The sequence below is a fragment of the Homo sapiens genome, chromosome X, assembly GCF_000001405.40.
Source record: "Homo sapiens chromosome X, GRCh38.p14 Primary Assembly".
In the NCBI taxonomy this organism is placed as follows: domain Eukaryota; kingdom Metazoa; phylum Chordata; class Mammalia; order Primates; family Hominidae; genus Homo; species Homo sapiens.
Window position 1 is genome coordinate 13,765,605 of NC_000023.11, and position 22,258 is coordinate 13,787,862.

The window sequence follows — 22,258 nt, forward strand, 5'->3', positions numbered from 1 at the left end:
AGCAAAAAGGTTCAAAGTCCTCTGCTGAACCTATGAATTTTTCTACTTATTAGCATTGCTTGGGTTGAAAAAAAAAATGTAGGTTATGGGTCAGAGCCAGAAGAGAAAGGTCAGCATAATTGTCTCTGGGATTGGGGTCTAATTAAAACTTTTGAGATATAGGGACCTGTGCCAAGATGCAGAGGGAACAGACAAGTAATTAAAGTATGGACCTTGCCTGGAAGGAATAGAAGTGGAAGAAACAAGTACATGTAGTTTTTGACAGATCAGGTACAAGATATCCTGCAAGTGAGATGCTGGAGTGGTTAGTTGTCACTTCAGGAATAAGGAGGAGGTGGCATTTCAGTTGGGTCTTGAATAGCATTTCAGACTTTGTGAGAGCAAGGGAGTGCTACAGGCTGAGGAGACAGTGAAGGTGAATGTCAAGCAAGGAAGATAGAGCCACGGCCAGGCCCCAGTGAGTGGGTTGGTACAGATGAAATATTTCTCGTACAAAGTTGGTGGTGATGTAGGAAATCAATCTGGGAAGAAAAGGGCAGGTTGTCAGAGCCCAGACTACCATGGCGTAGGACTCTTATCAGAGCGGAGATGCTGCACAGCAGATCCACATCTTCCCCTCAGGAAATGCCTGGTGCAGATGACCACAGGTTGTTGGAAGGCAGAGACTGGCTTCAGGAAGAGCCTTGACTGGGCTGTTTCAGTAGTCCAGGGAGATGGTGAGAAGGGCCCCTGTTGCAGCCACAGGACAGGGAGTGTGAACCTGCAAACACTGGTGGCTGAGTGGATAGAGGGTAGAAAGAGCATGATCGAAGGACCGGGATGATCATGCCTGGGACGAAGCTAGTGCTGTGGGGTTTCCACATGCGGATGGCAAGGAACTATCAGAAATGTGGACGCGAGGCTAGGGAGAGAGACCAGGAGTAGAGGAAAAGATAGGGAAAGGATCCATATACAAGTGATGGCTAAAACCCCAGGAAGGGCTGCCGTCAGTTTGGAGGAAGTGGGGAATGAACAGTGAGATGGCTGGAATGGCGGGGGGAGGGCAGTGGTGTGATTTCTGTTCTGTTTTGTTGGGGTAGGACAGACTTGAGCATCTTTATGGGAGTAAGACTTCTAAAACTACTGTGTACAGAAATAGGGATTAATGGCTCAGTCTGGGTCCTAAAGATAGGGGAGGGATTATAATCAAAGGCAGAGGCAGAAATGCAGGGTTTGCCTTGGAAAGGAGGGAGGAGATCTGTGAAGAGGATGAGAACATGTGACATGGAAGGAGGACAGTTGGAGTTGGTTATGGTGAGGGTGACGTATTTGTCTCAGTCAAGTGAAGTAGGGTACAGTTCAAGGAGTGGGGTCGGGAGCTTGAAGTCGGTGAAAATGAAATAGTGACTTGAAGCAGGTCACAGAGTCAACTAAAAGCCAAGCAGAGTCTCCGTGGGTCTTGGCAAGGGCTCCTGCAGACTGGTCCTGCATTCATTTGAATAATCTGATACTGGAAGCTACTCTTTATTTTCTGTCCTATTAGGTGTAGATCAGAAACAAATTGAAGAACAAAAGGAAGAAGAAAAAATACGGGAACAGCAAGTGAAAGAACGAAGGCAGAGAGAAGAAAGAAGGCAGAGTAACCTACAAGAAGTTTTAGAAAGGGAACGAAGAGAACTAGAAAAACTGTATCAGGAAAGGGTAATAAGTATGACTTGATTCTCTGAACTGGTTGCTCCATTGTACACCTTTCGTAAGTACATTGAGCTCAGGGAGGGGAGTCAATTGGTGTACAAAGTCAGAGGTGCGGCAGATGCCTTAAAAGGCATCCCTGTCCTCTCCTTGTCTTAAAAGCAGTGGGAAAGGCTGCACAGAATGTGAAGCTTAGGAGTTTTGTAGTAAAGGATAGTTTTTGAAGGTAATTTTTGTACATTCTCATCTGATCCTTAAAACAAGCCTGTAAAAAAGGTAGACTGTGCTTTGCTGCAGAACTTTGCTTTGAAAACAGGGTTTAAAGAAGAGACTGTCAGTGCCAGCTAGCTGGGACTAGAACCCAAGGGAGGAGTGGCTGCCAGTTCACAGTTGCTTCCAGGGGCACACACTCCCTCCCTCCTTCCTCTATTTCTCTTCTTGCCTTCTGTGTCCCAATTCTAGTCCTAGCAGATGGATTACTCTGTCCACTTAACACACCTGCTAAGTCTTGCTTGAATTACTCTAACATATGAATGTTCCTTGGACTCTTGGTTAATTCAAGTCCAAAGCACAGGACACTTGCCAATTAATACCTTCCTTCATTGAGATGACATATTTGTCTTCCTTTGATGATAGCAATGACTTCAATTTTAAAAATTAGTCCTCTGGCATACAGGCTGTACTTGAAGGATCGGGATTAATATTAGTGCATTTTTAAAACACTTAAAAGTTTTACAAATGTATTTGTGTATTTTCTGTTTTGGTGCCTGTTTTATAGAAGATGATTGAAGAATCACTGAAGATTAAAATAAAAAAGGAATTAGAAATGGAAAATGAATTAGAAATGAGTAATCAAGAAATAAAAGACAAATCTGCTCACAGTGAAAATCCTTTAGAGAAATACATGAAAATCATCCAGCAGGAGCAAGACCAGGAGTCGGCAGATAAGGTGCCAGTGCCATGGGCAGGGCAATCTGTGGGTGGGGGACATCCAGGGCTTCCGTGGCTTAACTTCTTGGGACGGGAATCCGTCTTCTCCATTGAAGACAAAAAGGTGAAAAGTATAGAAAATCCAAAGTTCAAATGGAACCTTGAGTCTTTTAAATATACTATTCTTTTGACAAAAATTCATAGCTTTTTTGCTTAAGGTAAAAGATTTAAGAGATTTTAATTTGTAAAAGTTGGGGTGGCTCATTAAGAAAGAAAAGATCTATCAAATGCATTAATACTGACATTAATATTTTATGTAAGTCTGAAGTATTATGGGTGTTAAATGCATACCCTATAGTTTATTTTGATGTGCTTGCTAAATTTCATGTTTAAAAGTCACCTCTTTTTTAGACTTTTAAATTACATATATATTTCAAAAATGGTTCTTAAAGTATTTCATGAAATTAATGCATATCTAATTTCAAAATTTTCCACCCTCTCCATGTAATCAGAGCTCAAAAAAGATGGTCCAAGAAGGCTCCCTAGTGGACACGCTGCAATCTAGTGACAAAGTCGAAAGGTACCTGTTTTCCCTACACACTTTCATACACAAACTGTTAATTGCTTATTTTGTCAGCCAAGAGAAACAGATGTTTGAGATTGCCTGTAAGAAGTTATTGAATCAGTCAAAATTAGTGACTATAAAAACAATTGAGTTTTTTGACTTGTGAAATTGATCCTGATATAAATTGTAAACTAGGGCAGAAACCCCCCAGGGAAGGAATTGAGAACATTATGAAGATAGCAAATAAACTTGACACAAATTTTTACATTTTAATTTTTATCTTTCCCTAATTTAGTTTAACAGGCTTTTCTCATGAAGAACTAGACGACTCTTGGTAACCATGTTTGCTGCCCAGCTTCTAACTTACATACCGTGAGAAGTTACGTAACATTTACTCCTTTGTAAATGTTTCCCTATCATCAGACAAAACTCAATAAAAATGTGTGTAATCCAATGTGGGTTTTTTTTTCCATAATTAATTTTGATACCATAGTGTGTGAACCAAGAATAATCTAGTCACGTGAAACCTCTTCTCCAGTCATAGTATTTCTCATTCATTATAATAAAAGTAACTGGCTTTTAACCTCCTTATTTTTGTCTTAAATTTATAAATGAGTATAACCTATCTTACTGCTCAACTGCAGGCCTACATTTTGGAAGTATAAGCTGTGTTCTTTCCTCTCCAAAGTTGGGCTGCCACCTGTAAAACAGGAGGTCATTTTTCCTAGCACACTCCTGTTTTGTCCCTGAACATAAAAACAGATTTTTCTAGGCATTAGAAATAGTAAGAAAGATACTGCCTCTGGTCTTTACTTCTGATGTCTGTGGTTTGTATGTATGTGTCCCTCCAAAATTCATATGTTGGAATTTAAACCCCCCCGTGTGATAGAATTAAGAGGTGGCACCTTTTGCAGGTGACTAAGAGTGGGATTAGTGACCTTATAAAAGGGCTCAATGGAACTAGCTAGGCCCTTTTGCCCTTGCACCATTTGAAGACACTGCATTGATCCCCTCTGGAGAACACAGCAACAAGGCACCATCTTGGAAGCCGAGACCGGGCCTTCACCAGACATCGAACCTGCCAGTGCCTTCCTTGATCTTCGACTTCCCAGCCTCTAAAACTGTAAGAAATACATTTCTGGTCTTTGTAAGTTACCCAGTCTAAGGTATTTTGCTATAGCAGCAGGAACAGACTGAGATAGCATCTTTATTATGGAACCTTTGGTCCTCATACTTAATGAATGGGCGTATTTCCTTTGTTTTTAAATGAATGGGCTCCTTCCCTATAATTGACTTCATCTCTTAAAAAATCAAGTTTTACAAGGCAGAACTGGAAAAAAATCTCTACTGAACCCTCTAAAGGGTCCTAGGTTTCGTGGCAGGATCACTATGGGTAATTAAGAGGCTGCTTGTGATTTTATCTAACCATTATTTACAGTTTTCCTCTGGTGACTCATGTGACTTAAATAATTGCACAAAATGCTACTTAAACAGAAGATACTAAGTAGTGTGACAAATAGCACACTAATTGAGCCTCCTGATTGTTCTGCCATGCATGAAGGAAGGGTGATGATCTAGAGTCAGCACCTCATTTAGGAATGGCCATGTGTCAATAGTGACAAAGGCTGGGCCTCACTAAGAAAGGTCAGACGCAGAGAATCCAAATGCATAATCATGTTGAGAGGTAAGAGTTTAAACAGATTATAAAATAAAATCCTAAGTAACATATTTAGCTTGGCTACTCTAGAGAGTCAACTGTTAGAACTAGGTTTTTTTGTATTCCAGAGTAAATCTTTCAATAGACTTTTGTACCTTTGGTTTGAAAAATAACTACACACATGCCCTTATTTTGTTTCTGCTTTGCCCACGTTTAAGCTTTGTTGATCCTATAGGTAGATGGCATTTATTTGTTGAAAAACTAGTCAGAAAAATTCTTACTTTATAGAGAACTACAGACGTGCTAGTGGCACTTTTATGCCCAATACAGCCCAGTGGATTATTTAATATTTTCTTTAATTGCTGAAGAGATTTTTGCCAGAAATAAAACAATTAGCACTCACAGATTTGATTTCCATACCAATGTGAAATCTTGACTCTGCACATTATTCAAAAGTGAAACCATACTGAGAACAAAGAAAGATAGGATTTATGTATGGTAAAAAGGCAAGTGAATGAAGCTATAATTTTATTTCATTACTCTTAGTACATCCACAACTATTTCCACCTAAATAGATCTTTAAAATAAGCATACACAAGTATTGACTATTATCTACAAATATTTATTGTAACACTTGAATAGAACTACAGGAAGCCCTTGGCACTGATAGAAAATATTGATTCACTGTTAGGTTACAAAAATTTATACATAGCAAAATTTAATGCTCTTTACATAAAAAATATTAGACTACTTAAACAAAACTTTCAAAAATTCCTGGTAATAGCTACCAGAATTAGAAAAGTAAAATTAGGCTTTAGACACTGCCTCTTCTAGAACACTGGACTCTGACAGCACCTCCACTGCTGGAAAGAATAGTTAAATCTGTCATGCAACAGGAAAACAAAACACTAAGCTATTTTGGAACAACTGTTCTACACAGAAGAGAGCTTCTCTTAATTTAAAAAAAAAAAAAAATCCCAAATAGGCATTTTTAGGCATTAACCAAAAAAGAGAATCCAAATGAAATATTATACTTGATGTTCAATTTTAATAGCATCTTGATAAAGGTATGCTTCCTTTCATTTGAATACATTTCTGCACATGTATGTTATAAAATCCAGGAAACAGCCAAACCACAAGTTAACTCTTAACAATGAATATACATAGTTAACCCTATAGTAAGCAGCCCCTTTGAAAAGCACTGATGCACCCAACAGTTATATGGATCATTTCATAAAGAGCAACACAAAGTTTACCATCACTAATACCCAGTACCTACAGTCACTTAATGTTCTGGAACACAATAATGTAAAAGGCAAGTTTCTTTTGAAAATGGCTTAAACTCAAGCAGTTCTCTTGCTGAACATCAAACTTTATTATTCCAGGAAACTAAGATTTAGATAAGAAAAAAATGAAATACCAACCCTAATTTAAATTACTTAAGTATTCAAGTCTATAAAAGTAGGAGGTTAGAGGTCTGTGGTCAATTTGCAATTAGGTTTTAGATAGTTGGTATGAAACTGTAAACTTCGTATCCAGACCACTGAAAAATGGTTTAGAATGGTGGTCATTTTAATAAGGTAACACTTCTTAATAATTAAGAAAAACATTTATGGAACAAAATTCTGTGAAAGATATTTGGGTCTCTAGTTATGATATAAATTCTTAGAAATTTAAAGCAAATACTCATTAAGGCAAAGCTGACATTTCTCAAGAATAATGAAAATTGGATCAGTATTTTGTTAAAATGAAATCTGTTATAAAATTGCTTCTGGAAAGCTTGTCAGTGAGTCCAGCATCCAGATTCTTTAATAGTAGGGTCAGCAGAATTGTAGCTAATTTTAGCATTATTGAAAAATATATTTCTGATTGGCTCAGGAAATTAATGGGTCCTGGACTTGGGAGGGAAAAGCTAGTTTGAGAAATCAATCATAAGAATCACATTATCTTTGATCCAAAGTTTAATAAATGTCAGCTGTCAGAAATGGAACTTTACATCAATTCCATTTTATTTCCTATGTAGATAACACTTGAGGACAGATGGCATATATGTGAATTTACGGTCTTATCCCTTGATGCTGGGCATGTCACAGGTCCTTATTAAGGAGTCACAGGTCCCTATTAAGGAGTGTGACATATTCCATTGAGTGTCTTGGTAGAATTGCCCTAGCAATAAATGTGAACATGCCACAAATTCCCAAAGTATGAACGATCATTTTGTCAAAGTGTTGCCTTTTAAAATGGCTAACATGAAACCTCCAATATTTGTTCTAAAGAAAAAGATTTACCCACTGGAAGGTTTTCCTAGAGATACATCCCAGCAGCTTGAGACAGACAGTGAAGTGTTTGTACATCTACATTAGTTTGGTGGGATACACATCTGTACTGCAGAGCAGCTGTCTGATGATTTGTCAGAGCTGTAAATACGTCGGCCGAAACACTCTGGCAAACATTTATGTGTAAGAATTGAGTTGTTCTTTTGACCGAGACTGGATATCTTGCAGTTCCTGTTCTTCCTTTGCTTTGATATCCTGGTAAGCCTGCATTTTGCTCGCATCCTTTAAGTAAGCCCAGTTAGAAGACAGTATCATGAGGAAGTGGATCTGGAAGAGAAGGGTGAGCATGATGGCTAGTGAGCATTGTGAGAAGGCAAAGCGAGGCGCTAGTTAGATTAGACAGACTTGACTTTAAAGGGGCGAAGGTTAATTCTGTATTAATAAATACTCGCTCTACTAGCAGAGCTGTCAGATCCTGAAAGCATGCTCTACTAGTTGGCTTCGCATTAAAAGGCTGAAGAAAAGTTAGTATACAAACATAGTGAACTGGAAAAAAATGGCCAAAGGTATTGTTAAGAAAAAGCAAAAATGAAATACGAGAGGGTGCTTTTTTTTTTTTTTTTAATACCATTTTGAGAGTAATTTTAAAGACTAATGCGAAAGTTCGGGAGCACATTGTATATTTGAAATAAGTGTAGTGTGTGCAAAGACCATTTTCTACCTGTGGATAAAAATCAATTCCCCCAAAGGCCTAAAAGCATGAACAATGTTTATTTTGAGTAAATAATTAAACTACATATTTAACATGGAAAAAATTAAATGAATGTCAAAACCAAAATTAAGAACTATAAGCAAAGCATGCAGTCTCTGTTAACAAAACTTAGTTGTGAAACTACATTTTTCATTTTGTAAATGCCATTATTTCATTTCATAAAATGTAAAAATCCTCAGTATCATTCTTTACACTTGATGCGGCAAACACTTCTTTCCTATTTTCCTCGTATTTCCTGCAAAATAAATCTACATCTCAAGTTCCTTATAGTTCATACTTTCTTCTCAACATATTTGAGACCTTCAGGTCCAGGCCTATTTTCTCTTCCCGTTAAAATCTTACATGCAGCTTGAGAACTAGCTATGAGGAAACAGTTAGTTATTACTTACCAAAACACACAATTTAAGGTTACCAATTTTGTGGGCTCTAACAGAATGATTGTGTTGTACCAAAAAAAAAACTACCCACATATAAATCCTTTTTTTTTTTTTTTTTTTTTTTTTTCCAGAGAACTGGGTGACCTTTTTCTTCAAATTTTCATCTGGCTTATTTGAGGGTCATTTGGTAGTGAACCATGTGATCATAAAAAAATTGTTTTCAATTTAGAACATATTTGCAAAGTATTTTCCAGGTGTGACAAAACAAAATCCAGATTAAAACGGTTCTCTTCCATTTCATCTTCAGCACTTGTTTTCATTTTCATCATTGAAACTGGTTATCAGGCAATCAAAAATAACAGAAAATGTAAGTATTCCAAAGTGTTAATAATTCATTTAAAGATACTGCTCTCTAATGTTTAAGTATGAGAACATTATTTTAAAAAGGATGCTCACCACTGTCAGTAAATAACTGAATCCTTTTCAAAATGTGGAAATAGCCACCAGATCTCATTATTGTGTAATTCATGTACAGTAAGTCATCTTATTAATCTACCATGCAAGGTGAGTTTACTAAAGCTATTTACAAATTACTGTAACAAAATTGCAGAAACCTAGACTCTGCTTTAGTCTGGAGTGTCAGTGATATTTCATGCTACAGAGCATAGCTCTCTAAAACTCCTTATGCAATTTAGAATTTAGTGCAGCAATCTTCCCGACTCTTAAACTTCAAAACCGCATAGTTATATGTAGTAGCCATCATGTAGATCAGCTGGTGGAAGAGAACAAAACAGGACAGTAAGATACAGGCAGTGAGGGCCGATGCCATGACACTTCTAAACTTGGGTGGGGACGGGTGCCTGCTCATAGTCTAAGGTGTTTTTTTCCCACTTAAAATCACAACAGACAATTTTCCTATCTAGCACACACAAACTTTTTCTCATCACACATGTACAATGTAAGTCATTGGTTCTGCCCTCAGTGAGTTTACTAAAAGGACTTGGATGCGTTTCAAGAATAACAAGACAGAGAGCTGGGTCAACAGCATGAGAAGGATGAAGCTAAATGCCTTAATCCTCTCATCTTTCCAAAACCACCTGCTCAGCAGCAGGCAGTTATCTTTCCTCCCTGTTGCTCAACCAAAAGAACAGGTCACCCCATGATTTTAAAGGTGGTTTTTTTCATAGATTCTAAGGGGATTTAATGGTCAGAAAAACTGGGAATGAATAATTTACAAGCAGCTGAGATTTTTCCCTTGCTCTACCAATCTTAGTTGGTTTTCCTGAAATCACAAACCAAGCCCTCCAAAATTACATGTATACAAACATACATACATAAGAGCGTGTATTTATACAGTTGATTTTCATTACTTGTAGATTCCACATTTGTGACTGCCTACTTGCTAAGATTCATTTGTAATCCTTAATACTTGAGGCACTTCTTTCGCAGTTATTAGCAGACATGTGCAGAGCGGTGAAAGTTGAGTTGCCCGGTATGCACATTCCCAGCTGAGGCTGAACAAGGCAATACTCTGCCTTCTTGTTTCAGCTCTCAGACTGTAAATAAGTATACTCGAAGTATATTTAGTGCCACGTTTTTCACATTTTTGTGCATTTTGTGGGTGATTTTGCTGCTTAAAATGGCTCCCAAGCATAGTGCTGCAGTGCTGTCTAGAGTCCCTAAGTGCAAGAAGGTTGCAAACTGCCTGACCAGAGAAAATGTTCATTAGAGAAGCTTCATTCAGGCATAGGGATAGAGCTATTGGCCATGAATTCAATATTAAGGAATCAACAATATATATTAAATACGGTGTATTTACACAGAAACACACGAAACAAGCTTATGTGTTGATAGGTTGCTGAAAATGATGTGACCAGAGGCTCACAGAAACCTAGCCATGTATTTCCCCTAGGAGCAGTGGTCCAGCATTCGCTAATTCATTGCTTGAGGTGACTTTATGGAACACAGCTACCCTGTATGAGTGACTATATAAATGTATGTATATGTGCATATCTCCACTTGTAAATTAATATCCCTTGGCAAAGAAATGGGTAATGCCTCACGTGAGCATTGCATCTGTCTGCGACTGAAGTCATGAAGCTAAGTGCTCAGTGCAACAAGGTAATATGCTAGGCCTAGTTGATAGGTGTTGATACCCTCTTTTCTTTCCAGAGTCCAAATTACATCACCTACAATCAGTGCCAAGGCAACCAACTAATACTTTCTGTAAACTACATGTGGTAAGTTAACACAGGCGCCAGTTAACCAAGGTTGAGTGCCAGAATCATTGGCTTCAATAGGCTGGTAAAAGCTGGAAGGGAAATCTGTCATTTAGAAGCTGGAGGGAGGAGGCTAGACTAGGGTGGTCTTGGGGCCATTACTCACCAGGGCAATGACGGTGGCACCAGCTCCTGCACAGGCCACAATGAACAGGTGATAGGACATGTAGAACTACAAAAGAACAGGGCATCAACATAAGCATTTGATGTTAAATGAAATGGCCTACACTCATTGTGGGGTGCTGCTTCATCTGTCTCCTTTGCAGCTCTTCTCTGCAAGACTGGGCACAGGCCTGCCTTCTCTTCATGCTCTGGCCTCATGGTGGAATCACCCGAGGAGCTTTAAAAACTTTCTGATGCCCAGACTGCCCCCCAAATCGATTAAATCTGAATACCTAAGGGCTGGGCCTCAGCCATCAGTATAACATAGTGCTGCCTTGATGGCTGTAACATGCAGCCACGGTGGGGAGCCCTGCTTCAAGCCACTGCATATTATGGATATACAAATTGACAAGTCAGATAGGGTAGGAGCTGATTATTTCTGTAACTCACTGCTTCTTAAAAGCTTGCCAGGATTTTCTTAAATATACAAGCACCTACGAATGCATTTAAGAATTTTCCTTTATAAACAGTTACAAGCCAATGACTGAAGAATGTTCTAGGGCTGAGACAATTTAAACCAAATTGTTAGGACACACTCCCTAGTAAGGACGAATGAGAATTAGAGAAGTAGCAAGTCATTCCAGAAATATAAATGATTAACTGTGGCCTCATTTATTAAAAGTTGGGTATATACACAAATTCCTCTATGAAATAGAGGGACTCCTCTATGAAAATTAACTTACATCCGTTCTGTGACAGGTGTTCTACTTTGAAAATCTTTCAAAGTAGAAAGAGTAGAAGTAGAAGAGGTGAGAGAAGAATCTAGATATATTATTAGATTTCTAGGTTTGGGATCACCTCTAAATTATTGCCCAAAGGAAAAGCCCTCCACTTCTTAAGGATTCTCACCAAATGTGTTGGACCATATGAAGTGACCATTTTTGTAGGTCAAAAATGGCTGAATAGTGATGGTTACATATAGCTCTATCTTAAAGATTCTAAACAAGGAGCTTTCCTTAATGGCATTTTAACCATCTCTCTCGCTCTTTCTACAGCTGGGAGAACCCTTTTTTCTCAGCCTAATACTCAAGGGTTATTCTGAACTGTGATGAGTTTACCTCGTTTGTGTTGCAGATGTTCTCCAGGGCAGAGCCACATATTTTTCCGGGGAAAGCATTCCAAGGAATGATACCTGTAAAATGAACCCCAATAGGATGTTAGTACAAACTATAGCGCCTCATGTTCTTAACAGACCCCACCACTTCGGATGCCAGTTACAGTGTAATTGTAGGCTATGTTCTTCATTAAGAATTGATGGATCTGCTGTCTGCAGAACAAGCATTTTGGAATAAATAGCCCCATTTGAACAATAGGCCAAAAGCAAAGCCAACTAGTCCATAAGAGATTTAAACAGCCTGATATTTTTTTCCCCTACAAATTGTGCTTTATTCAGTGAGGGTTCACATTTGGAAGTTCATATTTGTAAACATTAATTTTCAAAGCCAGGCTTTCCCTATAGTTACTGCAGGACAACCCCCTCATAAAGCATTTTATCACATTGAGGTCAAAATACATTTCCTCATGAATGCTGTGGTCTGTGGCCTTGCTGTCCAAGCTCTGTTACTGGTCTGCCAGGAGTTAAGTTCCAAAATTGCAAGTATACACTCAAACTTTCATGGCAATTTGACGGAGTAATTTATGTTTGTGGGAATCCAATAAAAAACTCTGGATTTGTACTTTGTCTTTGTTTTTATATTCATTTTTATTATGTCTTATAAACGTATTAGAAAATATTTTTGGACTGAAAATCAAATTGGTTTGTTTTTTTTTTTTTTTGAGACAGTCTTGCTCTGTCGCCCAGGCTGGAGTGGAGTGCTGCAATATTGGCTCACTGCAGCCTCCACCTCCCGGGTTCAAGCAGTTCTCTGCCTCAGCCTCCCAACTAGCTGGGATTACAGGTGCCTGCCGCCATGCCCAGCTAAGTTTTGTATTTTTAGTAGAGACGGGGTTTCACCATCTTAGCCAGGCTGGTCTTTGAACTCCCGACCTCGTGATCCACCCGCCTCAGCCTCCCAAAGTGCTGGGATTACAGGCATGAGCCATCGTGCGTGGCCGGAAATTTTTTAAAAAGAAAAAACACTACTGTCCTTTACCCCAGAGGGTGGGACAAGCAGAGTCTATGATTTCTCTCTCACTTAAACCCTGAGGCTCCTCTGCAATGACAGTTGTCCAGTGGGCTGCTGCTTTTTTTCCCCTTTAATGCATAAGTTTGTGCTTAAATATTAAACACTCCTAGGAGGTTAAGGAAAGGAGTATTAGAAGAAAAAAAATCCTTATTCCTTTCATCCTTGACACGGGCCAAGAGTACATCTTTATACTTCAGAAGCATGGGAAATTACCCCAAATTATCAGTGAAACCAGTAACTATAACAATAAATAGGCAAATATAGAGGATTTAAAAAGATGATTGCTGATTACCAAAAATTTGTGGCAAAACACTTACTTTTAAGGAATAGGAGAATGATATACATTTAGATATTCATTTACAAATAACTTTAACAGCCAACTTTAGGCTCCGTTTTTAGCTCTATCATAAAGAACAGTGTTGTTCAGCCTTGGTCTTTGTGAGAAGAGGTTAGTCTGATAGGTAGTTTCAAGCAAATTTAGTATTATGTTGTAAGGTAAGATGTTGAGACTAAGCCACATGAGAAAAACAGCAAAAATGAAATAGTCATCTCTCTTCAGAAAAGCTCTGGAAGGACAGTTATTTCCTCTTCAATTCTGATGAAAGCTATTCCCCCCCACCCCCGGTTGTTTCTGCCAAGAAAAGATTTCCTACCATGGTGGCTGGAAGCAGTAATTAGACTCCTCCCTCAGGATGCTGCCCTCTTACTCAGCTGCCCTCTCTTACTCAGCAGCGAAGTCAAGTCCCAAATTAACTGACAGGAGGAGCCAGTGGTCTCTTCTGGGGTTTGTCACAATGAACCAACCTTAGATCCCCATTGTAAGGATCTCACTCATTAGAAAATGTTTGAACTGGTTTCTAACAGCTGATAATGATTTATAGAGTATGTTCTGATGACTTTAAAATATGGCTGGATCTAATGTTGTATTTTTCAATACAGATGAAGTTTAAGCAGTTGGTCATTTTAAAAAGACCAGATTTGAGGAGTTGGATGTGCAAATTAATTGAATTATACAATGTGTGCAATATTATTTTGAATGGAAAGTTGGATGTTATAAAACTGAAAATAAAGAAAAAATACAATCTTTTTGTAGCGGAGATCCAGAAGTCTTTTTTGATTGAACTGCATTATAAAGTAGTTTCATATTAAGAAAAGCTTCTTTCACTACACACTTAACATGAAAATATAACGAAATTTTGATACCTAGCAAGCTAAAAGCCTCCCTGAAGTTTCCACCCAGAAAATAGCATATTGAAGGGAAAAGTATAAAATTACTCTAATAGAAGGGATGAAACAGATCATGACAATTAAAAGGATGCGCATGTAATAATTAGGTCCAGACATATGCACGAGAGGATAATGAAATAACTGGGGGAGGGGTGAATTAGAAGGAAGTACCGTATTGTCGGATATCCACACAGATCTGCTCCACACCCGTGGTCCCGTTGGTCTGCGGTGACTTGATGACTTCACAAGTTGACCATATGTTGTAGAACATAAACACGGGCACCGCTGAGAAACCAAACACACCCAGCCAGGCCACTCCAAGCACATAGGTGAGGAAAACGAACTAGGCCAAAACAAGAGGAAGGACAATCATCACTGAAACAGGTAGATGTGTGTCCCCTAAGTGGAAGGATTGTGCATTTTCAGGCCCAATACTGACCTGTGGAACACATTGTGGGGACCCTCGCCCCGGCATTGGTAGCAAGAAGGAAAAGCCAGCACGGGAGCAGGGGAAGTAAGAGCCAGCCACATTCCCCAGAGCTAGAGGATCTAGAATTGGAGTGCCCGAAGCAATGTCAGGGCCTTTCGGGTCACTCTTAACTAACAAGGACAGGAGACCCCAAGAGGTGATCTCACTCATCCAAGGTCACAGAGCTAATCAGTGGCAGCCTCTCAAGAGGTGCTCTTTCTAAATAGCCGTTCTGAAAATGCAGAACATGCTACTTAACATGGGATAGATTCTGGATGTATTCCATATACCACTGAATTATAACTTCATATTAATTTCTCAAAAGTTACCTTTATTTTTCGTAACAGGTTGGCTCACAGAGAATAGCAATTGCCACAAGAAGCCCTCTCAAAAAGAACTTTGCTAGTTTCCTGATTCTGCAAAATTACCAAAAGTTTCAAATAATCACGAATACAAGCTTAATGCTCGATCTATAAAATTCTCATTTTCCTCTACTTTTCTTTTGTCTCTAAGATTCACAGCAGCTTTGCAAGCAAAGCAACGGCTTAGGGAAAAAGCTTCAGGTGTTCACCCACACACTGTCATGGGCAATCCAGGAAGAATAGAATCCCGTTGCTTGGCTTTCCTCTGCCTTGACCACTTTTCAGAGAGCTTTGTGAGGCGGCCTCAAAAACGTGGTATTTGTGTTCTCAGAAGGCGCGCCCACAGAGGGTGTGGAGTGCTAGTTTGGCTTTTCTATTTTGAAGCTGATGGTGGAGACCTGATGGTCACCCCTAACTTTCTGTGCTGCAGGAGATACCTGGGCGGTTGGAGGCCACCTCCTGATGGTCACAATGCCAGGAAACTGCAGAAACGAGACACTTTCCCTTGCACTGCAAGGAAGCATTTGCATCTCCAAAAATATTCAGAGAAGCAGATTTCAGCAGTTCCACCTCCCACTTCCTCCCACTGCTGCTCCAGACTAGGTTTCTTTCCCTTCAAAAGAAAACAGGACCTGAGCAGGAGGGAGCTGGTGGTTCTTGGCTTCAGTGAGCCTTCCCTTCTGTCAGAGGCCAGGACTCCAGAGGGAAGGCCACTGTCCCCCTCCCAGAGGTCCCCGCTGCGAGCTGGCCCTGTCATGGAGGCCTCTAGCGTCCAGAGCTGCTTCCTCAGTGAGTTCCTGGGCACAAACCTCCCACACAGGACTACGAAAGAAAAATCTCCAGACCCCCAAATCACTAAGCCAAAGGGAAAAGTCAAGCTGGGAACTGCGACAGGCAAATCCCCCATTCTATTCCTAAACAAGATAGCACAAAGATAAAGCTACATACCTCCCTCACAATTTGCCCACAAGGAAATTCCTCGTGGACAAAGGACAGAGCTCAAAGTCATCCCTCTGAGGCTCATGTGAGACAAATGCATATCTGATTGCTTCCTCTGCCCTGTCTTTTCACCAAGCCAGACCAGGCATAAGTGACTATTCCTCTACCCTCCTCTCCCATGTGAATTGTATATTCAATGAAAGGCTAATCAGAGACCCAAAAGAATGCAACCAGTTGTCTCTCACCTACTTGTGACCTGGAAGCCCCCTCCCTGCTTCGAGTTGTCCCCACCTTTCTGGACGGAACCAATGTACATCTTACATTCATTGATAAATGTCTCACGTCTCCCTAAAATGTATAAAACCAAGCTGTGCCCTGACCACCTTGGGCCCATGTTGTCCGGACCTCCTGAGGCTGTGTCATGGGTGCATCCTTAACTTTGGCAAAATAAACTTTCTAAATTGGCTGATACCTGTTTCAGATACTTTTGGGTTCACAGGACTGAGGAGACAAAGGCCTTTGGTGATGGAGTGGCAGCTTTGCTTCCCTAGCGGGCAGATCTCATCCACCTTCTCCACCTCACATGACTTTCTGTCCTGTTTCTGTCCCCAGCATCCTCAGCCCTGCCCCGTCACCTGCATCTTCCTCACACCCTCCAAGGCAGGTCAGCATTGTGATCTGTTAAGCGTATGGATGAAACGGAAGCACATGAGGTGCCAGTGGCCAGAGATGCAGACAGCGCATGAATGACTGGCAATGAAATCAAGCAAGATGGTCAAGCTCCTCTCCAGTCTAAGGGGGCTTTCGACTTTCTCCAACAAAATCTGACATAAGAGCTAAAAGCGGGCCATGCTAGGTGGGCTGTGGATCCCTCACAGTGTCCCCATCTCTAGGTGAAGTGCCACTAGCTCAAGTACAAACAAGCTCCTCTCCTCTCCACCATGTACTGTGTCCTGACCAATGCTCAAAGGATCCAAATATGTTAAACATCAGGCAGTGGATGACTTAATGCTGTGCCCTGGTGGAAACTAGACCTCTATTTTTGAAACTTGATGGGTAGAAGTGAGGGGGAAAGCTGTCATTTTAAAGCTGTGAGGAGATGTTTTTGGTTTTTTTTTCCTTTGGAGGAGGATTCCCACTATTTGTGGCTATTTTCCCTCTGCTTTCCACAGGCATTTTATTTAACAGCTGCCTCCTTCCCCTACAAAAGTAACCATTCCCCTGACTTGTACAGGAGGCTGAGGCAGGAGAATCGCTTGAACCCGGGAGGCAGAGGTTGCAGTTAGTGGAGATCGCGACACTGCCCTCCCCAGCCTTGGAGACAGAGTGATGCTCCGTCTCAAAAAAAAAAAAAAAAGAAAAAAAAAAAAATTCTTGGCTCTTGAGCTGTACAAAAACAGGTAGTAGGTCAAATTTGGCCCACAGCCCCTAGTTTGCTAACCCCTGTCTTAGACTATAAGCTGCTTGAGAAAGCAGCCTGTGTTTTAATCTTTGCACCTCTAGTGGCTAGCAAAGCCCAGCTAGGCGCTCTGTACAGCAGGTACTGGTAAGTATTTACAGAAGGATCAGGACGATTTTCCATGGTTCATGTATGTCTTTATGGCTATGATCCATATTTAAAGACAACCAAAGGGGAGCACTGAGACCACATGAAAGTTACCTCCTTCTATAGTGGGAACTTGGCATTTGAAAAATCTTCAGCACCCTTTTCACCTTTACACTGATGAAAACATTTGATTTATTTCTGCCAGCCATAGACTTTAGTTTACTATCAATAGCATGTTGAAGGTTTTTATAGTCCTAACTCTAAATTGGTAAAGCCAATATTTGTGTCATGGACCCTCCATTCACGCTCGATACCTGGTAGCTTTTGCCAAATACAAGGAAATACATCAAGGCATGGCTCTGGTTGTATATCAAACAATCAGTTATCAGAGGTTCAACTCACCATTCCACTGATGCATCGGCCACAAGCGGTTGTTTTAAACTCACCGTGCAGTTCTTTCACTGCACTTGTGGTGTAAAAGCCTTCTGCCAACAGAATGATCCCATACAAGAAGAAAAAGGACGCAATTCCATAGATGACATACTGCATCAGTTGTATCCTACAAAGAGAAGAAGAGATCCTGAACCATTAAATTCACTGCCTGGTAGTGACTACGTTTCTGGACGCTGGAGAGAGGACATGAGGGGGATGTTCCTGTGAGTGCGTCACTCGCCCCACTGATGGCTTTGATGGACTTGTGGGGCATCCTGGGCGGCATCCCTGCCCATGTCCCAGCAACCTGGGCCTTCCTTCCAAGGTGGGAATGATGTTTCCTTTGCTCAGGGCAGCATCCAGTTGTAATCTTTTAATCCTTACCTGAGTCCTGGGCGGCAAGGGTTAGAATCCTCATTTTGCACATAAGTAAAACACAGGCATTGAGGAGTTAAGCTCCTCATCGGAGGATACACAGTTAGTGGCAAAGCCAGCATCTGAACCCTGGCCCAATGGACAACATGTTCTTTCTGCCCTTTCAAAATGCCTCCCAACCAGGCCTAGTGGTTAATGTCACTCTGATAAAACCCCTAAGTAGGCACTCAGGGCTTCTTTAGGGGGTAATCTGGGGAGATGTCTTTTGCACTGTGACTCCCACCACACAAATAGTAGTAGGTCGAGTAGGTTTAAGATACAGAAAGTTAATTCACAATGCAGTTTGTCCCACAAAAGCTAACAAAGACAAATGACATGTCCTCAGCCTTCGGCTGCCCACTGGAATCACCTGGGGAGCTTGGAAAATACTGGTACCTGGATCCCGCCCCCAGAGATTATGTCCTAATTGGTCTGGGGTAAGGCATGGGGATTTTCTTAAAGCTTCTCAGAAGTTTGAGAGCCACAGACTGAGATCACTACCTAATTAAATCAACACACCTTTCCCAGGTTCAGTCTTGGTAAACATTTCTTCTTTGCACATAGTTGGAACTCAGTGAGTCCCCTGTCCTGCTTGAGCCCTCCTTATAATCTCCCCAACCTGTGTTCATTTCTTTGGAGGTCATTTGTGAACAGATAAGAAAGAATAAAATTCCCTAAGGACTGAAGAGTCTCCAACATGACTCCATGACCATTCCATAAAAATTCATTCATGTCTTTTTCAGTCTGGTGAAGAAGTTTCTTATAATCATAAGACACACTAACACTGGAACTTTGGGATTCAAGGGAAGAAAAAGAAACGGTAGAAGGAAATGGAGAAAGGGGAAGACATGTGAAGGAAATAAGTAGATTGCTGCTGAGCTTGCACAGCTACAAGAATCTATGTGTGGGAGTCACTGCGACTCCATTGAGAATGTTTCCAGAAAGAAAGGCAGAGATCTGCTGCTAAACCCCTGGACCTTCCTCTCTTCTGCAATGGAGGATGCCCTGGGATCTGCTCTTCTGCAATGGAGGATGCCCTGGGATCTGCTCTTCTGCTGGAAGAGTTAATGTTAAAATACTGCTCCTGTAGGCTTAGAGTTGGGGTCAGTCCTCAACAGGGCTCCTACCATTCCAGGGATGGTCACTTCCTGGGAGAAAGCTGGAGGCATCTGTTACTTGGGAACAACACAATTCTGTTGAGACAATCGGCAGCATCACCTATCACCATGTCACAGCTCCCCATGTCCACAGCTACCATGTGTGGAGTGTCCTATGTGTGCACCTTACCATTCCCAAGTAACATTCCACCCTGGGGCCTAAACAGCTACCATATTCTAGGCCCTTTCTTTTTCCTTCTCTCATGAACCTTTTTCTAACTACATAAAGTGAGCTTTAAGTAAAAGCATTCATCTTCTGCTAGGAAAGCACACTGTAGTCTTTCTGAAAAACATCATGAGGTGGTTGCATCTCAGATACTTTTTTTTTAAACAAAGTATCACTCTGTCACCCAGGCTGGAGTGCAGTGTTGCCATCTCGGCTCACCAGCTCACCGCAACATCCACCTCCTGGGTTCAACTGGTTCTCCTGCCTCAGCCTCCCAAGTAGCTAGGATTACAGGCACGCACCACCACGCCCAGCTAAATTTTTTTTTGTATTTTTAGTAGAGGTGGCGTTTCACCATGTTGGCCAGGCTGGTCTTGAACTCCTGACTTCAGGTGATCTGCCTGCCTCAGCCTCCCAAATTGCTGGGATGACAGGCATGAGCCACCACGCCAGGCCTTAGATGCATTTTTAAAGGGAACCGGATACTTACACCTCGCTCAGCAAGGCATGGTCACTGGCGTTGGTGGAGAAGTGTTGCTCAAGAATCGCCACGGTGCCTGCGAGAGCCACATGCCCACAGCCGCAGAATAAGGCCACCCCGGAGAAGCAGAGGATGGTGGCCACCAGGGAGGCGTAGGGGACTCCTCCCAGACACTTGATGCAGCATTCAAAGCAGCCTGAACCCAAAGGAGAGAAAATATAGCCGTTACGGGCAAGAACACCTCTGGTCTTCAAGAATACCCCATATTCACAGAGAAGGCTTACAATTTTCCATCTCCCCTCTCAGGCTCTATGGTTAATATTAATACTTCGACATCCCAAGGGCCAGTGTGGTAGTTACCGTGATCTCACATTCTGCGGTGAGGACCCTGAGGCTCCAAAAGGGAATGTAACTTAATTTGCTCAGAATCTGGAAGGGTAGTGAATGGCAGAGCAGTCAATTGACAAAGAGTTATAAGGTAGTTACAGTTCTAGAGCTTCCTGATCGACTGAGTGGTGGGGGGAGCCCCGCTCAAGTGCCAACAAGAAGCACTCATTCCACTAACACAGTCAAAAGAGAGGACAGCAGTGAAGCTGCAGCTCTGTGAAGAAAAGCAACAGTCAGGTCGTCTCCAGCCTCACAGTTCTGGGGTTTCAATACGTCTGCTGCTGTGGCAACCAACGGCTTTCCCCAAGCCCTGGACCTCCGGGGCAACTGGGAGAATCTGATACAGCAATTATGCCGTCGCCAGGTTCAAACAAATAGCAAGGTGATTGTTTTGGAAAGGTCACAGGTATTTTGGTCCATAATTCAGTGAAGAACAAAGTCACCAAGAGCCACTCAAGTGGGTCTACTCAAGTTTCATTCAAGTTGACATCAGAAATTATCTCAAATTTTTAATAAAAATGCTTCCCCCCAGCCCAGTCAGCCCAAGCAATTCATTCACAGTCCTCCTCCTCCCCGGCTTCCACCTGCCCCCTTCCCCGACACACACGTTCAGAGTCAGAACCCAGAACTGGTGGGTGATATTTAAGTACTTGAAGGAGAAAAAAGAACAGAAGAAAAAAACAAAACCAAAATGAACATCCATGAAGTGGAATGAAGGAGAGACAGCCGTAAGTCACTCTTAATCTTGAAAAGACGAGACTTGTATTCATTTTTAAAATAAACTTTTACTTGAGATGTCCATAAAGACCTGCCTCAGGGGCAGAGCCAGGTGACGTTTTCAGTTTGGAGACATTTACGTTTCAGTAAAGGCAGCACTGGCCTCAGGATAATGTCAGTACCTCTCCTAACCTCCTGTCTCTGTTTATATTATCCAGACCCTTAAGTAAATGGCTTGTCGGGGAAATTGAACTTTAAACGCATTATGGTGTTTAGCAGCAATCAAGGGCACTTCATTACTTTAGGGCAAGCACATTAAGCCAGCAAAAAAAAAAAAAAAAAAAAAAAAAAAATCCCCCAAATGGTCTTCATAGTTGTCATGGAATGACAACCCAGCATAAAACACCATAGATGAATGTTTTCATTTTAGTGAGCATTCCTTTTAAACTAGCATTCGCTTAAACCTATGGAAAGTGACTATGAAAACTCATTACTAGATTTCTCTTTAGTTCATTAGAAAATAAAAAATATCAGGGCTTCATAAGAAAGCTGTGCTTCCTTTAATTTCAAAAGATGAGCAGCTGTTTTTAGGAAGACCAACTTCCCTGAAGTGGATTGGGGAAACTATATAAAATGGGAACCATCCTGGCTAACACAGTAAAACCCCGTCTCTACTAAAAATACAAAAAATTAGCCGGGTGTGGTGGTGGGCACCTGTAGTCCCAGCTACTTGGGAGGCTGAGGCAAGGGAATCGCTTGAACCCAGGAGGAAGAGGTTGCGGTGAGCCGAGATTGCGCCACTGAACTTCCAGCCTGGGCGACAGAGCAAGACTCCGTCTCAAAAAAAGAAAAAGGGAACCAGTGCACAATATGGTTCAAGTTCACTAGCAAGTCAGTATCTTAAAGAGCTTCAGACACTTGGGATTTGTGAGCAGAGATGTTAGAGCTCAATCTTATTTTGTCACATGACTTTCTGGGGACTGAGGTGAGAGGAATGCAACTCAAAGTCCAAATTCTCTCCAGGTTCCCAAACTAAGAGAAACTAGAATCCTTGGCCTTGACGTATCTCATTATAAAGAGAAAACAGACATGGGTATTGTATCATCCACAACCTCCCCACATTCTCAGCCTCTATGATCATGTTAA

The 22,258-nt window shown here is 41.2% G+C and overlaps 2 protein-coding genes across 29 annotated transcripts in view; one reads left to right on the forward strand and one right to left on the reverse strand.

The window, feature by feature from the left end:
• Window positions 1-8,134, forward strand: part of OFD1 (OFD1 centriole and centriolar satellite protein) — a 59,234-nt gene extending 51,100 nt beyond the window's left edge. For 12 of the 19 annotated variants that reach the window (XM_047442583.1, XM_047442585.1, XM_047442586.1 and 9 more), the window contains 4 exons: window positions 1,523-1,680; window positions 2,450-2,620; window positions 3,114-3,181; window positions 3,462-3,753. In XM_047442583.1, coding sequence (XP_047298539.1) covers window positions 1,523-1,680; window positions 2,450-2,620; window positions 3,114-3,181; window positions 3,462-3,504 — 440 coding nt within the window. In that variant the 3' untranslated portion in view covers window positions 3,505-3,753. Of the gene's footprint in view, window positions 1-1,522; window positions 1,681-2,449; window positions 2,621-3,113; window positions 3,182-3,461; window positions 3,754-4,080 lie in introns of those variants that run through there. The other 7 variants (XM_047442591.1, XM_047442593.1, XM_047442592.1 and 4 more) reach the window with 2 other exon arrangements.
• Window positions 5,335-22,258, reverse strand: part of GPM6B (glycoprotein M6B) — a 167,700-nt gene continuing 150,776 nt past the window's right edge. For 5 of the 10 annotated variants that reach the window (NM_001318729.2, XM_011545497.3, XM_047442007.1 and 2 more), the window contains 6 exons: window positions 20,018-20,204; window positions 17,761-17,917; window positions 14,214-14,385; window positions 11,748-11,821; window positions 10,634-10,699; window positions 5,335-7,426 (listed from right to left, as the gene is read on the reverse strand). In NM_001318729.2, the coding sequence (NP_001305658.1) occupies window positions 7,277-7,426; window positions 10,634-10,699; window positions 11,748-11,821; window positions 14,214-14,385; window positions 17,761-17,917; window positions 20,018-20,204 (806 nt within the window). In that variant the 3' untranslated portion in view covers window positions 5,335-7,276. Of the gene's footprint in view, window positions 9,021-10,633; window positions 10,700-11,747; window positions 11,822-14,213; window positions 14,386-17,760; window positions 17,918-20,017; window positions 20,205-20,368; window positions 21,437-22,258 lie in introns of those variants that run through there. The other 5 variants (NM_001001994.3, XM_017029432.2, NM_005278.5 and 2 more) reach the window with 2 other exon arrangements.